The sequence below is a fragment of the Homo sapiens genome, chromosome 22 (assembly GCF_000001405.40).
Source record: "Homo sapiens chromosome 22, GRCh38.p14 Primary Assembly".
NCBI lineage: Eukaryota > Metazoa > Chordata > Mammalia > Primates > Hominidae > Homo > Homo sapiens.
Genome location: NC_000022.11, coordinates 29,093,779 through 29,121,692, shown reverse-complemented (window position 1 = coordinate 29,121,692; position 27,914 = coordinate 29,093,779). Strand labels below are relative to the sequence as shown.

Genomic DNA, 27,914 nt, shown 5'->3' with positions numbered 1-27,914 from the left:
TTCCTCCCGCTTCCCACCCTCTGGCAACCACTAACCTGCTTTCTATCCCTATGGATTTGCCTATTCTAGACAATTCATGTAAGTGGAATCATACAATATGTGGCCTTTTGTGTCTGGCTTATTTTACTTAGCACTTATTTTTAAGTTATCTCAGCAAAATGCATTTACATCTTTATATTTTTCTATAGTTACACAGCCACAGAGTCATCACCTTGAACCTCTGACTCCGACAAAAACTGATGCAAGTTTGTATGGTGAGTTTGTTGGACGTTTTACTGGTGCCAGTTAGAGGAGGTGGGTTTCCATGATCCTTGTAGCAGCCAAGGTTTCCAGGCACTAAAGAAAAAAGAAAAACAAAAGAATTTCGCAACATCTGGCTGTGAAACACCAAGAAGGAAAAGCGATTTGTGCCAGGTACTTTCATCTCAGCCAGTATTTCCACTCCTGAGGTACAAATAAACAACAAGCAACCAGCTTTGAAAATGGAAGCTTTAGTGTCCTCTGCTAAAAACCATGTTTTTGTTTTATTTTGAAGAGTATGTGAGACTAGGTCTACATTTAACTAACCGAATACGTATTTAAAAAAAAAAAAAACTGTTTAATATTGATAGGATTTAGTATTGAAGAAAACTAGGAACAATTTCCTAAAAACAGAAAGACTCCAATAATGTAAATTATGTTTCAGAGTTACCAGAGGGCAGGAAAAGCCCTCTCAGAAGCCCATTATCCTATACCTTCTATTTAAGCTCCTAATTCCTTCAAAGATTCCACAAGTGGGTTTCCTCAAGGACTTTTGGTGAATATATTAGTTCCTTATTGCTGCTGGGACAAATTACCACAAACCTAGTGGCTTTAAATAACATAAATTTATTATCTTTCAGTTCTGGAGGTCAGGAGTACTAAGTGGGGCTTATGGGTCTAAACTCAAGGTGTTAGTGGAGCCAAGTTCCTCCTAGAGGCTCAAGGGGAGAATCCATTCCTTGCCTTTTCAACCTCCTAGCAGCTGCCCATATGCCTTGGCTTGCAGCCGCACCATTTCACCCTCTGTTTCCGTCAGCACCTCTCCTTCCTCCGTTTCCTTCATCACTTCTCCTTTCTCCCTGTTTCCATCATCAACTCTCCCTCCTCCCTGTTTCCATCGTCACCTCTCCCTCCTCCGTTTCCATCATCACCTCTCCCTCCTCCGTTTCCTTTATCACCTCTCCTTCCTCCCTGTTTCCATCATCACGTCTCCCTCCTCCCTGTTTCCATCATCACCTCTCCCTCCTCCCTGTTTCCTTCATCACCTCTCCCTCCTCCCTGTTTCCATTATCACCTCTCCCTCCTCCATTTCCTTCATCACCTCTCCCTCCTCCCTGTTTCCATCATCACCTCTCCCTCCTCCCTGTTTCCATCATCACCTCTCCCTCCTCCATTTCCTTCATCACCTCTCCCTCCTCCCTGTTTCCTTCATCACCTCTCCCTCCTCCATTTCCTTCATCACCTCTCCCTCCTCCCTGTTTCCTTCATCACCTCTCCCTCCTCCATTTCCTTCATCACCTCTCCCTCCTCCCTGTTTCCATCATCACCTCTCCCTCCTCCATTTCCTTCATCACCTCTCCCTCCTCCATTTCCTTCATCACCTCTCCCTCCTCCCTGTTTCCATCATCACCTCTCCTTCCTCCCTCTGTTTCCTTCATCACCTCTTCTTCCTCCCTCTGTTTCCATTGTCACATCTGTCTTCTCTGACTCAGATCCTCCTGCCTCTCTAAGGACCCTGTGATTACATTGGTCTCACCTGGATAATCTATCACAAAATCTTTCATCATATCTGCAAAATCTCCTATGCCATCTAAGGTAACGTATTCACAGATTCTAGGGATTATATCATGAACATCTTTGGAGGGCCATTCTTCAGCCCACCACACTGAGCATATTAGTGTTTCACAGCCACACATCAGATGGTTTGGTCTAGTAGAAAAAGCTGTAGCTGAGAACAAAGAAAGCTAAATATATGTACCAACTCTGGTAGACAGCTTTCAAAGATGTACCTCAATGATTCTGCTATGCACTCAATGTTTGCATACCCCCGTGACACTTGGTCTCTGCCCTGGCACAGAGCAACTCTCCGGGAATTTTCTGGGTGACCAGAGCATCTTTTGTTCTAATGAGGCAACTCTTGGTAGGCTCCTGGATAGCTTCAGGATGGAGGGTGGTCACAAGAAAGATGAAGCCATGATTAAAAGCTTGGAACTTTCAGTCCCACACCCCCACATCCTCCAGGGAGAGGAGAGAGTCTAGAAATTGAGTTAATAATCAATCATGCCTATGTAATGAAGCCATCGTTAAAATTCCTAAAAGATGCCATTTGGAGAGCTTCTGGGTTGGTGAATAAATATCTGTGCCAGGTATGGCAAACTCCACAAGAACAGAAGCTCCTGTGTACAGGATCCTTCCTGACCTCACCCTATATATCTCTTCATCTGCAGTTCACCTATAGCCTTTTAATTTTATTTTTTTAACTATTGAATTGAGATGGGGTCTCACTATGTTGCTCAGGCTGGTTTTGAACTCCTAGGCTCAAGCGATCCTCCTGCCTCAGCCTCCCAAAGTGCTGGGATTACAGGTGTGAGCCACCATGCTTAGCCACACCTATATCCTTTATAATAAACTGGTAAGTGTGTTTCCCTGAGTTCTGTGAGCTGTTATAGCAAATTAGCAAACCAGAGGAGAGGGTTGTGGGAAACCCCAATTTGTAGCCAAGTTGGGACCCACTCCTTGTAATTGGCATCTGAAGTGGGGGGCAGTCTTGTGGGACTGAGTTAGGTAGTGCCATAACTTAATTGTAGGACCCCCAGGTGGTGTCTGGAAACTTGGAGAATTGGCTGGTTTGAGACAAATCCCTATATCTGGTGTTAGAAGAGAAGTGTATGAATGTATGGGAAAAGGTTTTTTCCCCCTATTACTCCCTAAAATTAATATATTGAAGCCTGAATTCCCAATATGAAGGTATCTGGAGGTGAGGCCTTTGGGAGGTAATTAGGTTTAGATGAGATTATGATGGCTGAGCCCCCATGATGGAATCACTGCCCTTATATGAGGAAGAGACCAGAGCCCCCTCTCTCTCTGCAGCAAGAAGGTAGCCCTCAGCAAACTAGGAAGAGAGGCCTCACCAGGCACTGAGTCACCAGCACCTTGACCCTGGACTTCCTAGCCCCTTGAACTATGAGAAATAAATGTCTGTTGTTTAAGCCACCCACTCTATGGTATTTTGTTACAGCAGCCCAAACTGCCTAAGACAGATCCCCCCTTCCTGGTATTCATGCCCTTGTATAATCTCCTCCCCCTGAGTGTGAGCTGGACTGCTGACATGCTTTTGACAAGTAGAATGTGGCAAACTTGATGGGATGTCACTTCTGGGATTAGGTTACAAAAGATTATGACTTCATCTTGCTTGCAGACTCTCTATTGTTTTCTCGCTTTGCATATTTCTGTGAAGCAATAATGAAGCAATATGCCATGTCAGAGGCTGTGTGGTAAGGAACTGAGGGTGGACTTCAGCCAACATCCCACAAGAAAAAGAATTTCACCCAATGGTCCACAATTAACTAAATCCTACCAACAACTACGTGAGGTTGAAAGTAGATCTTTCCTCAGTTGAGCCTTCAGATGAGACTCCAGCTCTGGTAGACACCTGGCTTGCAGCTTTGTGAGACGCCTTGAAGCAGGATATTGCGAAGTCATACCCCACATTTCCTGACCCGCAGAATGCATGAGATAATGAATGTGTGTTGTTTTAAGCCACCAAGTTTTGAGGTAATTTGTTAGGCAGCAATAGATAATATACCTTATAATACTAAATATAGCTTTATTGAATAAAGAAATTAATTCATCATGGGTCATGGACGATGAATCTCTGTGGACCTTAGTTTTCCATCTATGTTATCGATTTATGAATCACTCCACTATCAGCTGAAGTCCTTTCCCTTTCTCCATTTGTTCCTCATGGTTTATATAACTGAAGATATAACAAAACACAAATGAGGCCTGGTCTCAGAAGCACTTCTAGGTCAGCTGAGAGTTATGTATTATACAATTCCAAAGTGACAGGCATATAGACTCTTAGATAGCATTTTTTTTTTTTTTGGAGACGGAGTCTTGCTCTGTTGCCCAGGCTGGAGTGCAGTGGTGCCATCTTGGCTCACTGCAAGCTCCGCCTCCCGGGTTCACGCCATTCTCCTGCCTCAGCCTCCCAAGTAGCTGGGACTATAGGCGCCCGCCACCACGCCCGGCTAATTTTTTGTATTTTTAGTACAGACAGGGTTTCACCATGTTAGCCAGGATGGTCTCGATCTCCTGACCTTGCGATCCGCCCACCTTGGCCTCCCAAAGTGCTGGGATTACAGGCGTGAGCTACTGCGCCCGGTCCAATAGCATTTTTTTCCTTTATGTTTCAGACTGGAAAACAGCATGGTCCAGTTTAATAAGCTTTATATCCACATTAGTCTTTTGGGCATATAAAAATATATTCATGTGTATGTGCGCATGTACACACACACACACAGACACACACACGTTTTAATGTATTCCACCATCTAACCAGCTCATTTTAAATTGGCAGGAAGTACCTCTGTTAACCCAAAGACTCACCCTTCCCCCTCTAAGCCAAGTGGTTACCTTTCTCCCTTGCGTCACACATGGTTCAAATATAACAAATGTGGCTCACCACACAAAAGTTAAAATGCATCCTTCGGAAACAAACTAAATCTCTATAGTAGCAAATGTAAACAGAAAAGCTCTATGCAGTAGGAGTCCAGTGTTGGGGGTGGAGGGGCCTGGCTTGGAAATGTCTGGGTTTTAGGGTTTAAACAACTGCAGTGAGTCAAGCTTCTCTGGTCAAGAGCATATGATATAAACTGAGTTTGTTAAAGGACCTTGTGCGTGGAAACCTGAGCCAGGCATTTAATGGTTGTTAATAAGAGCTACTTGATGATGATCATCTTGGTCATTTACTCTGATTTTTCTCTCATTTATTCCATTATGCTTACAAGTAAGCATGTTATTATGTATTAGTTTACAGAAAGCCTAAGGCATATAATCATAAATGTTAAGGTTAGACATAAACATGGCCATGGCTTGCATTAACACAGCTGGAACCTCTAAGCTTTATTAATTTGTTGAGCAAATCCAGGTGGTTCATGTTTCAATAGGACAGTGAGGTCTTGAAACACACCATGAGGTAGATCACTGGGAATCAGACCACAGCCTGCTGCCCTTCTAACCCATTTGAACATCAGTGGCCTAAGGTATCAAACTTGCCCCCAAAGGCAATCACTTGCCAATTGTGACACTGTCAATTCTACCTCCTACAATATCACATACATCTGCCCTTGCCTCTCTGTCCACGCTGCCACTTCCCCAGTTTTGGTCACCATCTCCTTTCACTTAGACCACTGCATCAGCCTCCTATTCTATCTCCATTTCTAGGCTTACCCTACTCTAATCTAGTTAGCAAACTGCAACCAGAATAATCTTTGCAGTACATTCCAGACAGAAGTGCAAAGGCCTGAAGCAAGAAAGATTGTGGCCTTGGCAGGAACTACAAGAAGTGAGCGTGACTGGTAGCAGAGAAAGGGAAAAGCAGCAGCAGCTGGTGAGGTAAATGGAGCCCTTCCCCAAACCCTCAAAGCTCTCTGGTTGCCCCCCAGGATAAAGTCCAAACTTTCTCACATGGTACACTGCTGCTGCTCCTGTGCTGCTCCCCCTTCCCCTCTCCCACCACCATGACCTGTCTACCCTTCAGCTCACATTCTATACAGAGACCAAATTGTAGTGTATTTGCAAGTTTCCCAACTGGACTTTGCTCTCTGGCCTCCGGGTTTTTGCACATGCTATTCCCTGTGCTTAGAATATTATTCCCTTCTTAAGATTTCAGCCTGAACATCATTTCCCCTGGGAAGCCCCATGGCCCTCCCATCCTCCCCACCCTATCCCCCACAAGAAAGAGGGTTATGTGTCCCTGCTGTGTAGTCCTACAGCAGTCTATGCTGAGTTTGATTCTGAACACCTGTTTACTTGTCTCTCTACCTGATTAACTATGAGCAACTAAAGGGCAGGACTATATCTTCCACACACCCCTGTATTCCCAGGGCCTGGAGTGGTCCCGGTCACAAAGCAGGTGCTCTAGGACTATATGCTGAATGAACAAGCACTTCCTGTGTCACCCACTGAAATCATGGAATGAGTGGATAATGGTACTTCTGGTTTTTTTTTTTTTTATTTCCATAGGTTCTTGGGGAACAGGTGGTGTTTGGTTACATGAGTAAGTTCTTTAGTTTGATTTGTGAGATTTTGGTGCACCCATCACCTGAGCAGTATACACTGCACTCAATTTGTAGTCTTTTATCCCTCACCCCGTTCCCACCTTTTCCCCCTGAGTCCTCAAAGTCCACTGTGTCATTCTTACGCCTTTGCATCTTCATAGCTTAGCTCCCACTTATGAGTGAGAACATACAATGTTTGGTTTTCCATTCCTGAGTTCCTTCACACTTGGAATATAATCTCCAATCCCATCCAGGTTGCTGCGAATGCCATTAGAGTGGATAAAGGTACTTCTTGGGCAGAGTGAATGAATAAGGTAGAGTGAAAGTGGAAAGCAGACTCAACCACTTAACGACATCCACTTAAAGCTAGGAACAGTTGGTTTTGACTCCTTTCTTCTCACTGTCTTCTTTGGCTATGTAGGAACATCATTCTAGATAATTGAGTTTTCCATAAAGCTTAACTTTAAAACTTAACATTTTATCTTAATCATTTTGGATGAAACCTTTCTAACATGCATTAGATCTTTCTTAAACAAATTTAACAAATTTAGCCTACTCTTTAAATATTTCTTGGTAACTTGAGGTCATCAAATATACTTCAAAATGGCCCCAGACTGGTGTGCTTTTTTATGTTCTAGTATCTGACTTTAATAGTTAATTTGTCTTTTGGTTGCTGTCTCAGTCCACGCAGACTGCTATAACAAAATACCATAGGCTGGTGGCTTAAACAATGGACATGGTTCTGGAGGCTAAGAAGTCTAAGGTCAAGGTACTGGCAGTTTCAGTTCCTGATGAGGGCCCTCTTCCTGGCTTTCAGACCAAAACCTTCTTGCTGTGTCCGCACATGGCAGAGGGAGATGTAGCTCTGATTTCTCTTCCGCTCCTTTTTTTTTTTTTTTTTTTTGACACGGAGTTTCACTCTTGTTGCACAGGCTGGAGTACAATGGTGTGATCTTGGTTCACTGCAACCTCCACCCACTGGGTTCAAGTGATTCTCCTGCCTCAGCCTCCCGAGTAGCTGGGGTTACAGGTGCCCGCCACCATGCCTAGCTAATTTTTTTGTATTTTTAGTAGAGATGGGGTTTCACCATGTTGGCCAGGCTGGTCTCGAACTCCTGACCTCAGGTGATCCACCTGCCTCAGCCTCCCAAAGTACTGGGATTACAGGCATGAGCCACTGCACCCAGCCCTCTTCCTCTCCTTATGGGGACACTAATCCCATCCTGGGAGTCCCACTCTCATGACCTCATCTAAGCCTAATTACCTCCCCAAGGGCCTCATCTCCAAATACCATCACATTGCAGGGTTAGGGCTTCAACATAAGAATGGTGGGGGTGGGTGGGGGACAAACATTCAGTCTAAAACAGTTGCTGTCAAGGCTGCTGCAACCTCAGAACATTAGAACTGAAAGGGGTCTTTGTGGGCATCTACTTCTTATTACTGTCAATGCCTGCAGTCTTTGCTTAACCTCTTCTTAATTTGCTGCTTCCTAGGCTTAGAACAAAAGTGTGGAGCTTATAAGAACCGTATGAAAAACAGAACATGCAGCTTCTATAAGAGGGAGGGCCATTATGCTCCTCACTTTCTGCCATCCACACTGTGGCTCAGGAGTGGGTTTTGCTTGCTCCCTTCCTAGGACTTGATAATGTTCTGAAGGGCACTGGTGCCACCACCATGTGTCCAGGAGCAGGTGGCCTTTTACAGTGAGACAAACCCTAGGGTAAATTCTGGCCTCTCCATCACAGCCCTTCTCAGCTCAGTTTCATCAACAGCGGAATGAGAATCAATACGGACCTCAAAGGGTTCTTGTGAGAAATAAAATGAGATAATGTAAATAAAGTAAATACCACAAGGCCTAGCAGAATAGAATGTGCTGAATAAATAGTGTTTGTCATCATTATATACAATAAGGCTTTCATCATTCACCACACAAACAAGAACAACTTGCTGAATAACAGAAAAATAAAATAGGCTGATTTAAAAGACAAAAATCAAAGGCAGCCACCTCAGAAAACGGTTTGATTCCGGATATTAAAATATTAATCTCTTACATCTGTATAGCATACAGCACATTTTCACATAAGTCAGCTCACAGGAAGCTCTAGCCCCTTCAGGGAGGCAGGACAGATGATATTATTCCTACTGGACAAAGAAGAAACCAGTCTAACAAGGTTAAAGGCCTTGTGTGGGCACACATAAGGCAGAATGGAGAGCCAGGGTAAGCTCCAGGATTGCCGACTCCCATTCCATGGGTTTTTGTTTTTGTTTTTCATGTCTCTGACCCCTTTTCTTATAGGACCAGTCTGGGCAACTAAATGAAAGTGACTCCCTGAGACCTGAGATTCAAGACTGAATTCTCAAACACATTAGTCCCTCAACACTCTGTTCACCACGAGGGAAGCCTCTGCGGTCCCAGTCAGCCTCTGAGGGGGCCACTGCCTCTGACTTGTCCTGGAAAGTGTGGCTCGAAGTCTAGTCGGAGAAGACACGTCATGTTGCTTCAAAAGCATTACTACTCAACTGAGTGGATTTCTAGATCGTGTCCCACCCTTAGCGCTTCCCAGAAGCAGGGAGGAAAAGCCAATTTGAAAAAGGATATTTGTCTTCAAATTCCTTTTTCATTTCAAGCTTACTTTGAAATCCTTGTGGCTTGGTCATGCATTTTTCCTCTTACCAAAGAGGCTTCATCACTTTCAATTTTTAAAAAATTATCTTAACATACAAATGGACCCCTTGTTTATCTTAGCTGAGGCTTCAAAACTTGTGAAAATTAATTACAAATATTCAGATGTTGAAGATAAAAATTTTGGAGGAGTTAAAGAGAGAAGGTCCTCCATTCACATTAACCCAGGAACTATTGTTCTTTTACTATCATAAGAAACAACTGGGAAGCAATCAGGCAGGCCCACTAAACATTGTTACATTTGAATATAACTGTGGCTTCATTGTGAAGGTACTGCACACACCTCCATGGGGGCCTCCATGGCTGACAGCTGTTCTTTGAGAACCACCTATTACCCACAGCACCTTCTCAGAGCATCTGCTCCCATAACTACTGCTGGCTGGGGACAAGACAAAGGGCTCCATCCTCTGGCCACAGCTGCCTCACACTGGGGCCACCAGATTCTCTTTCTTAGGAAGCTGGAATTGGGATCCGCTCAGTGAATGCAAGCACTGAAATTGTAGGGATTTGTCAAGTAGGAGTTGAGGCAACCAAACTCAAGTTTGAGCCACGTGAGTGGATGAATGAGCCAATTCTGCTGGTCCACGAAGAGGAAGAAGGATGGATAACAAGCTGAGAGAGAGGCAGAGAAGGGAGATGAAGTGGCCACAGAGACAGATAGTGAAAGTCCCTGCTTTCTTTCTAGTTTCTTGGGATACAGGGTTTGGGTTCTGTGATACATCCCAATGGTCTTCAAATTGATTTCTTTTGCTCAAGTTAGCTTGAATGAGTTCTAGTCCTGGTAACCAAATCATTATCGAAGACAGAAGGCACGGCCATCATAGTAAAGGCTCAGTTTGAATCTAAATCTTCAGCTGGTAATTCACTAAGAAGCAGCCCTGACTATTATTATGTTTTCTATTCCACTGCTCTCACCAGATCTGGGATATTTGCTTTAAGAAACCAGATGCTAAGTTCTTGTCCTATGTCTTAAAAAACTAAAAAACTCTTTCCAAGGCTCTGCAGAGCTCCTTTTTTTTTTTTCCTAAGTAAAATCTGCTTCTTCAGAAATGATGTAACTCCTCTGCTAATTTTTTTTTTTTTTTTTTTTTTTTGAGACGGAGTCTCGCTCTGTCGCCCAGGCTGGAGTGCAGTGGCGCGATCTCAGCTCACTGCAAGCTCTGCCTCCCGGGTTCACGCCATTCTCCTGCCTCAGCCTCCCGCGTAGCTGGGACTACAGGCGCCCGCCACCACGCCCGGCTAATTTTTTGTATTTTTTTAGTAGAGACGGGGTTTCACTGTGTTAGCCAGGATGGTCTCGATCTCCTGACCTCATGATCCGCCCGCCTCGGCCTCCCAAAGTGCTGGGATTACAGGCGTGAGCCACCGCACCCGGCCTAATTTTTTTTTTTTTTTTTAATAGAGACAGGGTCTCACTCTGTTGCCCAGGCTGGAGTGCAGTGATACAATCATACTCACTGCAGTCTTGAACTCCTGAGCTCAAGTGATCTTCCCATCTCAGCCTCCCGAGTAGCTGGGACTACCAGTGTGTACTACCATGGCTGGCTAATTATTTGTGTATCTTGTAGAGATGGGGTCTCACTATGTTGCCCAGGCTTGTCTCAAACTTGTGGCCTCCAGTGATCCTCCTGCCTCAGCCTCCCAAAGTGCTTCTCTGCTGATTTTAAATGTCATTTAACTCTGTGTCAATACTATCTTCTGCCTCAAGGACCCCACACTGGTGCCTCAGTAGCTGATTTCTCCCCTCCATGGAAAGAAAAACTATGTACATCTGAGACGCTGCAGCTGGTATCCTACTTCTTTCAGAGCATCAACAGGTTAAGTGTGGATTCATCCACACCCTCAGACCCGTGACCGTAAGCTCACTGCACCCTGTGCTGTTCATCTGCAACTTCCGTTCCAAATCTGACAGCTGCCATCTTGGTCCAACCCCTTCTCATGATATGGCCCCACACTACCTCTGTAACTTTATTTCTAAACATAAACTTCCTTTTCAGTCACTCTGATTCTTCCAACAGTCTTAATTGTGCCCCCGAGTCTTACAGCAACACCCCCAAATAAATAAGTAAGCACAGCTTTTTCTTCCTCTGTGGAATTCTGCCCTTAGGGGGAGGTAGTAAGAGTTCCTAAAAATCCTGATCCCATAAGGCCAGGATCTATCACAGCAGTAGTTCCCTCCTGGTGGGAGTTCCTTCTCTGAAACTTAGTTTCTGGTGAGTTAATGTGATAAAGAGTCAAAAGAGGCTCTAGTAATTTCTCCCCTCCCTGTACATGTGTGTTGCTCCCACTTTAATAGATTTCCCCACTTCTTAAATCGGGCCTTGCCACTTGCTTTGATCCATAGAATGTGGTGGACTTCTTCTGAGTTCATGCCTTAAGAGGAATGGCAGCTTCTGCTGCTTCTCTCTTGGAAGCCAGCCACCGTATAAGAAGTCTGAATACCCTGCTGTTGAGAGAAGTCACTGGATAGAGGTCTGAAGCCACCTTGAATGCCAGCAGAGCTCCCAGTTGAATGCAGGCACCTCACTAAGCCCAGGTGACAGCAGCAGAAGAACCACTCAGCTGAAACTCAGTCGACCCAGAGAACTGGGAGAAATGATAAACTGTTGGCGCTTAAGTCACTGCGGCTGGGGATGGCTCATTACACAGCAATAAACAACTAGTACACATTACTTGGTAAAAGGTCAGTCCAAGTTCAAGAGGAATGATAACTGCTGTGTCCCTGGGAAGAAAAGCTCGTTTGTTGACTTGGACTTTTTTTTTCAGGGACACCACAAATATCCCAGGCAAGGAACCTCTTCCTGCTGTTTTATCCCTTACATATTCCACTTGTCAACAAGTTCTGTCTTCTTCCTAAGTGCATCTTGGACTTAATCCTTCCTGTCTTGTCTCACTGCTGCCATGATAGCCCAGGCCCTTATCCCTTGAGTTTAGAAATCTACACGCATCCTCTCTTCCCCAAACTTTCTTCCTTTGATCCGTCCTGTAAATGACACTGGACTTGCTTCTCTTCCTAAACTAGGGCTTTCAGCATATCAGTCCCATCTAATTAACTCTTGCTTTCCAGGTCTGACCTGGTTCCTTTTTGTCCACTCCTCTACTCAGGAAGCCTGGATCCCAACCCACACACTCATCAATTCTGTGCTTCCTCCAAGCCTCTGTCCTGCTGTTCCCTGACCCATTCAGCCACCAGCCACCTTTCTTCCAATTTCCACAATCTTTACTGAGTCCTCTTGTCTTCAGAAACTCACAACACTCTACCTCATAATTCAACACTTATTTATATGATTGGTGTGCTGGTCTGCAATTTTCTCTTAGGTTTATAACTCAGATTCCCAATTACATCATAAGATTGAGGGGCTATTTCTTCCTTATAGGCAAGTGCTGGTATAAAGATTTTCAGTAAAGTCATCCCTATCAATTTGAATGAGTTTTCCTTTTTAAGTCCCTAGTGTGCTTTACACAACTGTGCTTTAGAACATTTGTATCTGTGACTGAACTGATATCCATTTGGTTCAGAAAGTCTGTATTTTTTTAATGGAAAATTAAATAATACCCACTGGCAAAAACCAAAAAATAATTGAGTACATAAAACCTCATTGTAGGAACAAACATGGGAGCCAGGCAGAGTGGCTCACACCTGGAATCCTAGTACTTTGGGAGGCCGAGGTGGGAGGATTGCTTGAGCCCAGGAGTTTGAGACCAGCCTGGGCAACATAGCAAGACTCCATCTCTACAAAAAGTAAAAATATTTGCCAGGCATAGTAGTGTGCGCCTGTTGTCCCAGCTACTTGGGACACTGAGGTGGGAGGATCACTTGAGTCTGGGAGGTCAAGGCTGCAGTGATCCATGATCGTGCCACTGCACTCCAGCCTGGGCAACAGAGCAAGACCCTGTCACAAACAAACAACAAACAAACGTGGGGCCTCTTGTGTTCACCGAGTTCAGTGCTGCAACAGGCCACAGGGAGCAGCCACTGCAGCAGCTGATGCCTGCTCCTAAGACCCATGGTCAGTTAGATAAAAAAGAGATGGGCAGAAATAAAATGCAGGTTATGAATAACATATTCTAGGAATTAGATGACAGGGACATACTAACGGTAGTCCATTCCCTGGGGAGAGCATACCATCACAATACCTGTTGGTACTTTCATGTCTACCTGATATGTGCTAGGACTTAGGGCAGCATGCATTTTATTCATTTAATCTTCAAAAAAAACTCTGGAAGGCACCAATGAGGAAACCCAGGCACAACTGAGAGTCATTGTGCCTAAAGCTATTAAGCAGATAATGATTCAAACCTAACTGGGTGTGACTCAGATGTCCACATTCTTTCCATCTTTCCACCAGCTTGTGTTGTCTCTTATGGGAAGAGAGGAAGAGATAAGACTTCATGGCATCAAGAAAGAATTTTGTCTTTTGAGACAGGGTTTCACTCTCATCGCCCAGACTAAAGTGCAATGGCGCAATCTAGGCTTACCGCAACCTCCGCCTCCTGGGTTCAAGCGATTCTCCTGCCTTAGCCTCCCAAGTAGCTGGACTACAGGCTACATGCCCATCACACCTGGCTAATTTTTGTATTTTTGGTAGAGACAGGGTTTCACCACATTGCCCAGGCTGGCGTTGAACTCGTGGGCTCAAGCGATCTGCCCATCTTGGCCTCCCAAAGTGTTGGGATTACAGGCATGAGCCACCACACCCAGCCAAGAAAGAATACTTAGCAAGCACTTTTACACTCTCCACTGTGCTAGGTGTGGGGAAGATTGTTGAAATATATGGCTTTTTTCAGTGGCTACCAAGGAGAGGCTTAAAGAGGTAAAGCCTCCATAAATTCCATCAGCACTCTTCCACAAATAAAAGTACAATCAAGTAAAACAAGGGTGCCTGTGATGCGAGCTCAGCCTCAACCTCCTGAGCTCAAGCAATCCTCCTGAGTAGCTGGGACCATAGGCACATGCTACCATACCTGGTGAATTTTTAAGTTTTCTGTAAAGACAGGGTCTCCCTATGTTGCCCAGGCTAGTCTTGAACTCCTTGGCTCTAGCGATCCTCCCACCTTGGTCTCCCAAAGTGCTGGGATTATAAGCATGAGCCACCTCACCTGGCCTATTAATGTTCATTTCAATATTGCTTTGGCTATCAACAAAAGTTGGAATTTTCACTTTAGCTGTAAAGTATAAATGGTACACAGCCAAGTGTGGTGGCTCATGCCTGTAATCCCAGCACTTTGGGAAGCCGAGGCAGGCGAATCACAAGGTCAGGAGTTTGAGACCAGCCTGGCCAACATGGTGAACCCCGTCTCTACTAAAAATACAAAAATTAGCTGGGCACGGTTGTGGGCACCTGTAATCCAGCTACTTGGGAGGCTGAGGCAGGAGAATCTCTTGAAACCAGAAGGCAGAGGTTGCAGTGAGCTGAGATCACACCACTGCACTCCAGCCTGGGCAACAAGAGCAAAACTCTGTCTCAAAAAAAAAAAAAAAAAAAAAAGTATAAATGGTACACGGGGATGTGTCATTTCAGAGAAGGTGAATTTCAGCCCACAGCAGTGAAGACATGGTATTGGGGGAGAACCTAAGGCCCAGACAAAGCTGCTGACGAACTGTTTTGTGCAGTGGGTCCAACCCCAGGGGAGCCCTTTCCTCGCTGAGAACAGCTGGTCTGGGGACACCCACAGAGATAGCCCAGCATACTGCAGAGTGGCTCTGTTGGGCAGCAAATGCTTCCCAGATCCCATCTCAGCCTGCTTTACTCCTGGGGCTTAGGATTTCCCAAAGCCAAAGAAGAAAATAAAATGACTTAGAGCTAACAGCATGAACTGCAGACCCTCTGTCGCCACTGAGTTAACCCTTTGGTTTCCACAATGTCACAAAAGCAATCTTAATAATTCACCATACTATCAGAATTTCAAACTTTAATTCCCAAACAATTCACAAAGAAAATTCTGAAGAATGACCTCAACAGTAGCCGGAATCCATCCCAGAGCCCCTGTTTTCAAGGAAATAAAGGAAATGGGACTGTTCTCAAGTGCTAGAAGGAAAAGGCACTGGTCTAGCTATCAGGAGTCCTGGTCAAAAATCCTGTTTGACTCAGACTGTAATCCTCATCAAATCACTTAACTATCTGGGCTCAATTTTCTTATCTGAGAAATGGAGGCGGGAGAGTAGACATGCCACCTGCTTCATAGGATTGTTGAAAACGTTAAATAAGATAATGTGTTGGGAGGCCGAGGCGGGCGGATCACGAGGTCAGGAGATTGAGACCATCCTGGCTAACAAGGTGAAACCCCGTCTCTATTAAAAATACAAAAAAAAAAAAAAATTAGCTGGGCGTGATGGCGGGCGCCTGGAGTCCCAGCTACTCAGAAGGCTGAGGCAGGAGAATGGCGTGAACCCGGGAGGCGGAGCTTGCAGTCAGCCAAGATCACACCACTGCACTCCAGCCTGGGTGACAGAGTGAGACTCTGTCTCAAAAAGAAAAAAAAAAAAAAGATAATGTGAATATAAGTGCTTTTTGTACATAGTAGGTACTCAGCAATAGCTGAAACATACTAGAAAGCAGTGCTGACATTAAAACACAGAAAGTGCTGACAGAAACAAAACATTTTCTATAATTGAGAAACTGCCTTGACCACCACTGCCACAGTGCCCTTGGCTTTTTACACATACTCTAAACACAGTTTTAAAAACCCTTATCAGGGATAATGGGAACCTTTCACATCCTATTTTTTGGGCTGACTTTTGTAAGGCAAATACTAACATCTGAAATCTATTTTAAATCTATTTTTAACAAGTCCAGGTATTATTTAGTTAAAAGAAACCTGAGCTGGTGAGGTCACCAGCTGAGATGGACCTAAGGTTCCACACGTATTGCAGAAGTGCAACTGCTGGCATCCTCTTAGGGCTGATGTGTGTGAATGATACAATCACTAGAGAACTTCTCATAGGTTAAAAGTGGGAAATCTTGACCCAAATCCCTAATACAGAGGCTCAACGAACTATGGAGAAATGCCTCCCTCAGACACTCAGCCCTCACCTCAGCTTCATCATCATCTTCCTGGATCAGGTCCAGGCTTCATACCCAGACCATAAGACCTGACATCATCTAGCCCTGTGTACTTCTCAGACCTCATCTCCTGCCCCTTTCTTCTTAAAATTTATGTTTCAGCAACACCAACTTGCTTGGAATTCATCAGAGTGTGTGTGTGTGTGTGTGTGTGTGTGTGTGTGTATGTGTGTGTGTGTGCGCACACGCACGCTCATGCACATGCAGGGGCACAAACTGTTCCCTTTGCCTCCAATGCCCTTACTACCCCAACCCACCCAGCCCTAACATCTAGAACCTTGCTACTTAAAGTGTAGTCCTGCAGCTCTGGCATCCCAGAACCTTGTTAAAAATGTAACGGGTCTGTTCTAGACATACTGATAAGAATCTGTATTTTAATAAGATCCCAGGTGACTGGATGTACTTTAAAGTAGAGAAGCCCTAAACAAGACCCCACTCTTTCCAGAAGCCCTCTTCAACAGACAGTAGCCCCTGCCTCCCTACCATGCCAGACAGATGGCCCTCCTGGGTGCTCCGAACCTTTTGCTCACCTCACTTATTATAGAGTATCTCGCATATGCTTATCTGTTCATTTGTCTGTCTTCTGTCCCAGACTGAGGATTCCCCACAGGCTGCAGAACATACTATCCTTGTGTCCCCCGTTTTGTACAAGGTCTGACAGATGGTCAGAGCTTAAGAAATGTCATTTGACACAACTAATAACTTCTAAATATGTCTAAGTTATTGTGATTTTATTTTATTTATTTTTTTGAAATGGAGTCTTGCTCTGTCGCCCAGGCTGCAGTGCAATGGCGCCATCTCAGCTCACTGCAACCGCTGCTTCCCAGGTTCAAGTGATTCTCCTACCTCAGCCTCCCGAATAGGTGGGACTACAGATGTGCACCACCACGCCCAGTTTATTTTTGTATTTTTAGTAGAGATGTTGGCCAGGCTGGTCTTGAACTCCTGACCTCAGGTGATCCGCCCACCTTGGCCTCCCAAAGTGCTGGGATTACAGGCGTGAGCCACTGCGCCCAGCCAAGTTCTTGTGATTTTAAACTTTATTTACTAACTTTAACCTCAATAACTAATAGTTCTAATAACTTTAAATAACTAATAGTTTTAGCAAGTTTAATAACTAAAACTTTAATAACTAACTTTAACAATGACATCAGATACCTGTGGGCTATGTGTAAAATTATTACAATTGGCTGGGTGTGGTGGCTTATGCCTGCAATCCCAGCAATTTGGGAGGCCAAGGCAGGAGGATTGCTGAGCCCAGGAGTATGAGACCGGCTAGGGGAACATGGCAAAACCCTGTCTCTACAAAAAATACAAAAATCATCCAGGTGTGATGGCATGTGCCTGTAGGCCCAGCTACTCAGGAGGCTGAGGTGGGAAGACTGTTTGAGCCTAGAGGTAGAGGCTGCAATGAGCCAAAATTTCGCCACTGCACTCCAACATGTGTGACAGGGCAAGACTCTGTCTCAAAAAAAAAAAAAAAAAATTACAATTTAGGTTAATCATGTTACATATTTGAATCTAGATACTCAGAATGCTGTGTTTATTTACTCTTTATATTTAAAATATTATAAAAATAATTTTAAATTTTTATTATTCAAAGTTGCAAACATACACAAAAGTGGGAAAGAATAATGAACCCATCACCCAGCATCAACAAATAATCCACTTTTTTTTAAACCATTCTTGTTTCATCTATTTCCCTTACCCCTACCTAGTCACTGTTTGGGGGGCTGGATTGTTTTAAAACAAATCCCAAATATTATGTCATTTCAACCACAAATATTTCAGTATCTGTAATTTTAAAGGACTTCACCACCACGCCATTATTGTAGCTAATAAAATTGACAGTAATTCCTTAATATAATCTAATACTCAGTCTGTATTCAAATGTCCCTATTTCAAAGATGAATTTTTATAGCTGGGTTTGTAGAAATTGGGGGAATGTTTTTCAGCAAACAAAAAATAGCTCTCAATAGTCAAACCAACAGGCCTTAGAGATCTAAAGCGTGGGATCTAGAGACATGTTAAACCCGAAGACGTTGGAATTTGCTTTTGAAGTCTGCATTTCTCCTGGCTGCAATAAGAACTTAGGGTTTCTGAGAAACATTCTGGCAAAAGCAGTTTCAGGGGCAAATCCAATTACCTCCGAGTTGTTCTTTTAACAGTAAGTTCTGATCCATGCTCTGCAGGTCAAGAGCAGTTCAGATTTCCCTCTGCTCCCATTTGAGTTGTACTTCAGGTCTGCCTCCTGCTTGTTGTAGCTCTACACATAACACACCAAGGGGCAGAGATCTGGTTTCCACACAATGGCCCACCATTCAGCCAGATTCTGCTTTGTCCCTAAACATTCATTCCCCCTGGCTCCTGCTGGGTCTGTTATATTCAGATATGAACTTTCCAGGAATCTGATCATGTCACAGGACTTTTTCTGTATGACAAGTTCAATACTAATCATGAATAGCAGGCTTCATGCAGAGGTTTAGTATTATTCATGAAAATTGTGACTCCACATCCAGAAATAGGGCAAAAGTGGCCTAAAATAGGATGGCTGTATCTCTGTTAAATCCACCAGGCAATTACAAACATCTCTTGCTACAAACTGTAAAACAGGTTTTGCTCAACTATGTTAATCAGACACACTAGAAGTACAATATGCTGCCAGACTCAATGTCTGAGGTCCGGCTTGATGGGGAGCCCTGGTCCCCACAGGGTAAACTGAAGGGTTTTCCAAAGAACCAAAGCCAGACACCACCCACCCTCTATCCCCAGAAACCAGGTACTATAGAGCTCTCATTCCCAACTTCTACAAATCTCTCTGCCCAGACCATCTCAAGGCTAGCTTTAGAGATTTTAGAGGGTTATCAAGGGGCCACAGAAAAACTGAAATAATATTTAATTTTCCTTTTTTGGAACAGGAAAGCATATCCGGTAAATATTACAAATTAGAGGCATACTAAGCGGTTTATAGCATTTTGTTATAATTCTTTCTTCTGGAACCTGGTTTCAATGACCACATGAATCAGTCCCTATTGGCCCAGACTGTATTTTAGAAATGCAAGTCAAAGATTATCTTTCCAAATAAAAGTGCCCAGATTGAAACCCCCTCTTTACCACTCCCAAGAGAATGACACAGGCTGGTACTAAAAGACTATCTTTGTGTTGAACAAATGGACCGAGGAAAATCTGCTTTCCTCTCCCTCTGCTTCTTTCTTCTTTACATAACTAGAGGCAAATGAGATGTTTTTCATTTTAAAAATTTGATTAAGCAGACTGAGCAAAAGCCCATTCTTCTGGTCTTTACTGTTTTCTAAGTTTGGGGACTGGATGAAGGCACACTCAGGTTGGAAGGATAGTGAAGCTAAGCAAAAGGTGAGTACTAGGTCTGCAGCACTGGTCAGGGGCTGCCTTTCCCCCTGGAGGCCTCAGCATTCAGATGCTATTCCAGGTATCAGTGAAAGGGTTGCCAGATCCCATACACAAGACTCCTGACCTGAGAGGTGAGAAAGAGGGCAATGCAAAGAGCAGGTTTAAATAATAAGAAAAAAATAACCCAGATAGGATGTTACGAATTCACTGTCTTTTTCCTCAGCTCTAGGCACTGAGCTCTTCTGGCATATTTTAAAATACATTATATATACTACATTAATAGACTCCTTATAGAAGCAGATCTTGCTTTAGTTTCTGTGGTTCAAACCTTCTGCAAGACCTTTCTACACACAGTATTTTCTTTACCTTGTTTAAAAGTATAGTCATGTATCTCTTAGGCAAGGTTTCGCTCTGAGAACTGCATTGTCATATAATTTTGTTGTTGTGTGACCATCATAGAGTGCACTTGCACAAACTGAGATGTGATAGTCTACTACACACCTAGTCTATAATGGGATAGCCTGTCACTCCTAGGCTACAAACCTGAGCAGCATGTTACTGTACTGAATACTGTAGGCAACTGTAACATAATGGTAAGTACTTCTGTATCTAAACATATCTAAACATAGAAAAGGTACAGTACAAATACTGTATACAAGATAAAAATTGGTTTACCTATTTCATGGCACTTGCCACGAATGAAGCTTACAGGACTGCAAGTTGCTCTGGGTGAGTCAGTGAGTGAGTGGTGAGTGAATGTGAAGGCCTAGGACATTACCATACATTACTGTAGACTTTATAAACACTGAACATTTAGGCTACACTAAATTCATTAAAAATAATTTTTCTTGAATAATAAATTAACCTTAGCTTACTATAACTTTTTTACTTTATAAACTTTTTAATTACTTTAGCTTTTTGACTATTTCATAATAACACTTAGCTTACAACACAAACACATTGTATAGCTGTACAAAAATATGTTCTTCCCTTACATCCTTTTTTTTTTTTTTTTTTTTTTTGGAGACAGACTCTTGTTGTGTTTCCCAGATTGGAGTGCAGTGGCATGATCTCAGCTCAGTGCAATCTCTGCCTCCCAGGTTCAAGTGATTCTTGCTGTTCAGCCTCCCAAGTACCTGGGATTACAGGTGCATGCCACCAAACCTGGCTAATTTTTGTATTTTTAGTAGAGATGGGGTTTTGCCATGTTGGCCAAGCTGGCCTGGAACTCCTGGCCTCAAGTGATCTGCCCGCTTCAGCCTCCCAAAGTCCTGGGATTACAGGCGTGAGCCAACGTGCCCAGCCTTTATATCTTTCTTCTATAAGGTTTTTTCTATTATATTTTTTAAATGTTTTACTTTCATTTACTTTTTAAACTTTTTTAAAAAAACTAAGACACAAACACACACAATAACCTAGGCCACACAAGGTCAGGATCATCAATATCACTGTCTTCCACCTCCACATTTTGTCCCACTGGAAGGAGACAATAACCCACATGGAGCTGTCATCTGTGAAAACAATGCCTTCTTCTAGAATACCTCATGAAGGAGCTGCCTGAGGCTGTTTCACTGTTAACTGCTTTTTTAATAAGTAGAAGGAATATAGTCTAAAATAACAGTAAAAAGTATAGTATAGTAAATACATAAACCAGTAACATAGTTGTTTACTATCATTATCAAGTATTATGTACTGTACATAATTGTATATGTTATACTTCTGTGTGACTGGAAGTGCAGTGTGTTTATTTATACCAGCATCACCACAAACACATGAGTAATGTGTTGCACTACAGCATCATGACAGCTACAACATCAGTAGGCAACAGAAATTTTTCAGCTCCATTATAATCTTTATATACATATATAAAGACTAGTCCACGCCTGTAATCCCAGCACTTTGGGAGGCCAAGGCGGGCGGATCACCTGAGGTCAGGAGTTCAAGACCAGCCTGACCACATGGAGAAACCCCGTCTCTACTAAAAATACAAAATTAGCCGGGCGTGGTGGCACATGCCTGTAATCCCAGCTACTCGGGAGGCTGAGGCAGGAGAATCACTTGAATCCAGGAGGCGGAGGTTGCAGTGAGCCGAGATGGCGCCGTTGCAGTGAGTTGAGATGGCACCACTGCACTCCAGCCTGGGAGACAGAGTGAGACTCTGTCTCAAAAAAAAAAAAAAAGACTAGTCAAGTGTAGTAGTGAGAAGGGAAGAAAGAAGGAAGAAAGAAGAGTAGAAAAAGAAGTGTGATCTGTAACTGACTGAACAATCAGTTGAGATACTCCATATGGGACCACCATTGTATATGTGGTCTGTTTTGTGTGGTGCATGACTGTATCTTTTTAAGATTCATCCTATACCATACACTCCTGAGGGTCAGGGTATCCTATTGTCTTTGTAGTTTGCATATAATAAACAGTGAATACAGGTGCCGGGTGTGGTGGCTCACGCCTGTAATCCCAACACTTTGGGAGGCCTAGGCGGGCGGATCACGAGGTCAAGAGATCGAGACCATCCTGGCCAACATGGTGAAGCCCCATTTCTACTAAAACACAAAAATTAGCTGGGCGTGGTGGTGCACGCCTGCAGTCCCAGCTACTGCGAAAGCTGAGGCAGGAGAATCACTTGAACCTGGGAGGTGGAGGTTGCAGTGAACTGAGATCACGCCACTGCACTCCAGCCTGGTGACAGAGCCAGACTCTGTCACAAAAAAAAAAAAAAAAAAAAAAGGAAAAAAAGTGAATACGGGAATAAATGAATGAAACAGTTAGAAAACAGGCATTTTAGTAAAAGGCTGAAGAAATTGGGTTGTGAGTTATTATTATAAACAGTAGAACATGTTAGGCTAATGTGGGTAAAAGAACTACCACATGAGCTTTGTATGGTATTTAGCAAGGCATTTATCAAATATTACTTCTGGGGACCCATTCAAATCCAAGTAATAAGTAGTGCCATAACTGAGTTTCACTATGTATAAAGATGTTCATTCCAAAAAGTACAAGATATTTTTCTCCCCTAGGCTGCTTCTGAGCGGTTGCCCTCTCTATACCTGAAAGAATCAGAAATTAACCAAAAGTAGGAATTCTCATGGGGCTTACCCATCAAGGGAATACCTTTAGAATGAGGTGCTAAGGAAATCAGCATTCCTATTCCTGAAAAGCCTCAACAAGAGAAGTGAAAATCCTCGCCCAGGATGGCTTCTCCTTTCACATGCTCCATGAAATCCACCAGCCTAACTACCTGACCTCTGGCAGGGGCCTCCCTCTACGCACTCTTAGTGTTCACAGTCCTGTAAACCATCACATTGGGTATTACAGTCTTACTCTGGCAAGCAGGTATCTCACAGTACTTCCAGTAGACACCATCCTCGTGCTCTGCCACATAGCACCAGGGGCTCACGTCTCCATCTGGATTTCTGTTGGGGAAAAGGACACAATTGATGACTTCTGATGTTTTAATTCAACTGGTTCATTGCTTTTCAGTTTTACAGAAAAGGAAATGCTTTAGCTTCTGTATTATTTCTAATAGTTGGTCTGTATCTCAGTGCCATCTCTCATCAAAAGGGAAAAAATGGTAATATTACAAGAACAAACATATCTATTCTGACATATACTTCAGAGTTTGGGGGGAAGTGAGTAAAGGTAATATATGTTTGGGCAAATTCACTATAGCATAACTAGGACAAATGGCCACTGCACACATCATGCCAAATAGCACTGGCACCTTGAATGTGAGCATGGAGATTCCAAGGCTGAGTAAGCACAGGGGCTCTCAATGCCGCTGATGAATATGCAAACTGACACAAATGGTCAGAGCGGCAATTTGGGAATTAGAGCCAAAGGCCCTAGAAATATGCAAACCCTCCACTTGGCAATTTCCTCTTTAGGAATTTATTCTAAGGAAATCTTACCTATAAAGATGTTCAACAAAACATTTTTATAATATAAAAAACAGGTGGAAACAGCAAATATCCAACAATAAAGGTTTGGTTAAATAAATTGTATATCCATAGAAGGGAATATGTGGTATAGAGACCAGTCTTATTAATTTGCAAATATATTCACAATGTCTTATGAGGCTTTTTTTTTTTTGAGACAAACTCTCAATCTGTCACCCAGGCTGAGCTGGAGTGCAGTGGCATGATCTCGGCTCACTGCAACCTCCGACTCCCAGGCTCAAGCGATTCTCCTGCCTCAAGCCTCCCGAGTAGCTGGGACTACAAGTGCCCGCCGCCATGCCTGACTAATTTTTGTTTTTAGTAGAGGTGGGGTTTCACCATATTGGCCAGTCTGGTCTCCAACTCCTGACCTCAAGTGATCTGCCCATCTCGGCCCCGCAAAGTGCTGAGACTACAGGCGTGAGCCACCGTGCCCAGCCTTATTAGATTTTTTTTTTAAAGAGGCAGTTATAAAACCCAATAGATGACATAATTCCATGTTTTGAAAAGACTTATTTAGGAAAGAATGTACACCAAACTCTTATAAAGTATCTCTAGACACTGGAACTACTGGTGATTTCAGCTTTTTTTCTTTTCTGGTTTTATTTTATTTCCTCTATAGTGAATACTCCAATGGTGTAATTTTTAAACAGTAAAACAAAATTCACTTAATAAAGACTCCACTGGGCCAGGCGTAACAAGAGCGAAACTCCGTCTCAAAAATAAAAAAATAAAATAAAAATAAAATACAGACTCCACTGACAAACTTTCACCAGGACGAGGCTCACATTTGCTAGAAATGGGTGCTATTCCTTCCTCAAAATGCTGACTCCTCAGAGAATACTGAAGAAAACTGCGTCAGAGTCTCAGCTAGAACTTGTGATCCTGTCATGAGGTATCAACTTCTGATATGGAGATAATATTTTTTAAAGCTCTATTTCACATTTCTAAATGAGAATGGCCTGGAATAAATACATGCTTTAAGGTCTTTTCAACTCATAGGTGGCATAACAATAACAAGCAACACTACTGAAGCAGATAAATAAAATGGCAGGGGCTACTGGACACACAGAAAAGGCTCGCCTCTCTTCACCGCTTTCCAAGCCCCTTTTATTTAGACTCAGAACACTGGAAAGCTGACACTCCGGTTAGGCCGGAAATGGGCATAAAGATCCTGCAGCAGGAGCTGGGAGCAACCCCTATCAGGCCAGAGTGGGCTAAGCCTGTCATGTGGCGTAGAAGATAAGCTTTCCCAAAGTACAAAGCGTCCTTTTGTTTCTTGTGCCCAAAGGCAGGTGCCAGCACCAACTCTGCTCTTCCCCAGTCTCTGCCTTCCCTTCTAAGCCAGTTACTTTGAGCCCAGAAAAGTGCATTCCCATCACTCACCAACTCTCAGACATCTCTAATGTGATGGGTCTGAAAAAGTCACACAAGACAAACATGGTGTCGGGTGTCAGTTGAGAAATCAAAGTAGGAGAACTTGTACAAAGCCCTTCTTTAAACAGTATTTCATTGTCATTTTCCTCCCTCTATTCGGTGTTCAGCTTTGATGTATTTATTTGGTAAAGCCCTTAGAAAACTGTTTATTATCAATGTCAAAACCATATTGAAAAGCATCAGAATAGCTTAATAAAGAACAAGCAAATTCATCCTTGACTTTGCTGCAGTGCTAAAACAAAAGGCCTGGGCTCTTTGATGTGATAATCAACAATTTCAGCCTCCCTTTTCCAAAGTATAAACTGGTATTAAATAGTTCAGGTCTCCTGCATTCCATCAAATCAAACGAGAGGGTTTGATGTGATGGCTGATCAGGGCTAAGGAGAAAGGTGGTCCCTCCTGGCTCTCACTGCTCTCTTAATGGATGTTTATGGGTACATTTCTAGAAGCCTGTGAGTAGAAGTGGGTGCTAATCCACAAGAAAGAAAAATTTTTCACATAAATTAGGCCTCACTGGAAACTTAAAATTTACCTTAAAGTCAGACTTAAAAACATGAGCTCTTCTGAGAAGACTTGCTTGATAGGAAGCAACAGAGCAATAGAATAAACCAACAGCCTACTACCAAGAGATATTTTGGAACAAGAAGATAAGCAACTATGGAAAAACAAAAACCAAATACTTGTCTCTCTTCCTAAACACTCTTCCCAACCCAACCAACTATTCCTATGAATAGAAAACCTAGGGGAAGGTAATAAAAAATGGGGTGGGACTAATTTTTTAATTTATGCAAAAAATAAATTAACATGTATAACTTGGAAAATAAAATATAAAAGAACTATTTAATAAGCATGTGTAACTTGAACAATAAAATACAACAGATAGCAAAATGTGAAGTGGCAAATACCCAAATTGGTTGTCTCTGGGACTTGGGACTTGGTGGGGAGGGTTTCAGGGAAAATAGGTAAAATGGGGAATTTTAACTATTTAAACCACATATATTTGTGGTGTTGGAGAAGTTTTTTTTTTTAAGAATAAGCTTTTAACACTTTTATAACAAACAAAATAAGTCAATAGCAACTAGGAGGGAATGGTCAGTTGATACAAGATAGAGAAAGGTATAGGGATAAAGAAAACATAGACTAAAGGCCTGGTGACTTTGAGACAACTACAAGGGCCCTAGAGCGTTAGCAAAGGTATGTAGAGGGCAGAAGGTAAACAGTGTGGCCCATACAATACAGGAAAATATATGTTGGCTCAGCTGCGTCAACAGTGCCATGGTTGAGATTCCAATGTATGTAGAACCAGGGACAGGGTATATAGTTCAACAATCATTTTTCCCTGTCCCAGTAGCTCAAGAGGCTGCCTTTGCACCTGTACTAATAATAATTAAATTCAATGCATTGCTGAACCATAAGTCTCATTACCAGGATCTTGGGCATAAGCAGCACAAATGTATAACCAAAAGTGCTTACAGTCTTTGTTCTGGACCCTACATACCAGTGATCCTGAACTTGTTTTCAATCACAGATAACTTTGAGAAGCTGATCAAAGCTATGGATCATCCCCAGGAAATTGTGAATCACTTTTGAAGCACCATAGATGTCAGGTTAAGATCCCCTGCTAGAGTCAGACGGGAGGTGAAAAGCAAAGAAACACCTTAGTCGACTAAAAGGAAGTAAATGGCACACATCTGATGGATACAGCTGTTCCCAGAGCAAGGTTATCCTGGGCTGGCCGGAGGCACAACAATGTAGGCAGCTTCCTTTGCTCAGAAGCAGAGGGAGATTTGGGTCACACATGGTGCTGTCTGACCACGACATTCTCGGTAGTGTAGGCTGCTCTGCTAACTGTGTATTGTCCACTGGTGGTAGGGCTAACTAAGAAAACCCTCCCAAAGAGACAAGGAAGTGATCAGACAGAAAAGCAGAGCTTTCAAAGCCAGCATTAAAACAACCCATGTTGAAAAGAGTGGTAAATTGGCCGGGCGCGGTGGCTCACGCCTGTAACCCCAGCACTTTGGGAGGCTGAGGCGGGCGGATCACAAGGTCAGGAGATCGAGACCATCCTGGCTAACACGGTTGAAACCCTGTCTCTACTAAAAACACGAAAAATTAGCCGGGCGTGTTGGCGGGCGCCTGTAGTCCCAGCTACTCGGGAGGCTGAGGCAGGAGAATGGCGTGAACCCGGGAGGCGGAGCTTGCAGTGAGCCGAGATCGCGCCACTGCACTCCAGCCTGGGCGACAGAGCGAGACGCCGTCTCAAAAAAAAAAAAAAAGAGTGGTAAATTGTGTGTGTGTGTGTGTGTGTGTGTGTGTGTGTGTGTGTGTGTAAGGTGTGAAAGAAATATTTTTAAAACTGACAAGATAAGTCTCTTGAGTTGGTCAAAAGACTTCCCCTAGTTGTGAGCTGGGATGAAAGGGGTTGGAAGAAGAGACTAGATATATATCTATCTTTTTAAAGTACTGAGTGGCCCCATCTTACCTGCAATAGTTGTGCTCACCCAGGCCCCCCTCCCCGTTGGGGTATTTCAGAGTGTTGTATGGATGCTGGAAAGTCTCGTTCCAAAACAGACATGGCTTCCCGCCTTGTAGTGCTGTCCAGTTCTGTGTTCCCCTATAATCCGCACCATTGGCTGTGAAACACTCTAGAAGAAAAAAAAGACAGAGCAAACTAATTTTCTGGCAACATTCATGGTTTCCTCCCTCTTTGGTTGATGTTTTGTTTTGTTTGGACCAAGCTGGAAATGGATAGTGTCTTGCTAGATCCTGGACACAGTGCAGTTAACACTTCTGGGGCTGAATAAATCTGAAACAAGGTACCCTCAAAAAGCTAGGCTAATCTTGGCACTAGCTTGTCTACAGACACTAGAACATTTTCCCCTAAAGTATACAGATCCCAACTAGGAAATAAACAGGGAGCTGAAGTGTACTGAAGCCCATGAAGTGAACCAGGAAACCCCTAAATCTGGGAACAGTTGGTAACAGCCATCCATGTGGAATTCTGGATACTCTGAGGGGGTCACTGCTCTCGCCAGTGGCTCTGTGTGGTAACTGGAACCAGGTCACCAGCTGTAACTGAGCTCTTCCCTACAGTCTGAAAGGCTGCACTGACACTTGGATTTAA

The 27,914-nt window shown here is 43.4% G+C and overlaps 1 protein-coding gene across 6 annotated transcripts in view; it reads right to left on the bottom strand.

The window, feature by feature from the left end:
* KREMEN1 (kringle containing transmembrane protein 1) overlaps nt 1-27,914 on the bottom strand; it is a 95,299-nt gene that overhangs the window by 46,641 nt on the left and 20,744 nt on the right. For 3 of the 6 annotated variants that reach the window (NM_032045.5, XM_011530429.3, NM_001039570.3), the window contains exons 2-4: nt 27,273-27,435; nt 22,740-22,831; nt 212-336 (exon numbers count right to left, since the gene is read on the bottom strand). In NM_032045.5, the coding sequence (NP_114434.3) occupies nt 212-336; nt 22,740-22,831; nt 27,273-27,435 (380 nt within the window). Of the gene's footprint in view, nt 1-211; nt 337-18,195; nt 19,969-22,739; nt 22,832-27,272; nt 27,436-27,914 lie in introns of those variants that run through there. The other 3 variants (XM_011530430.3, XM_017028989.2, XM_011530431.3) reach the window with 2 other exon arrangements.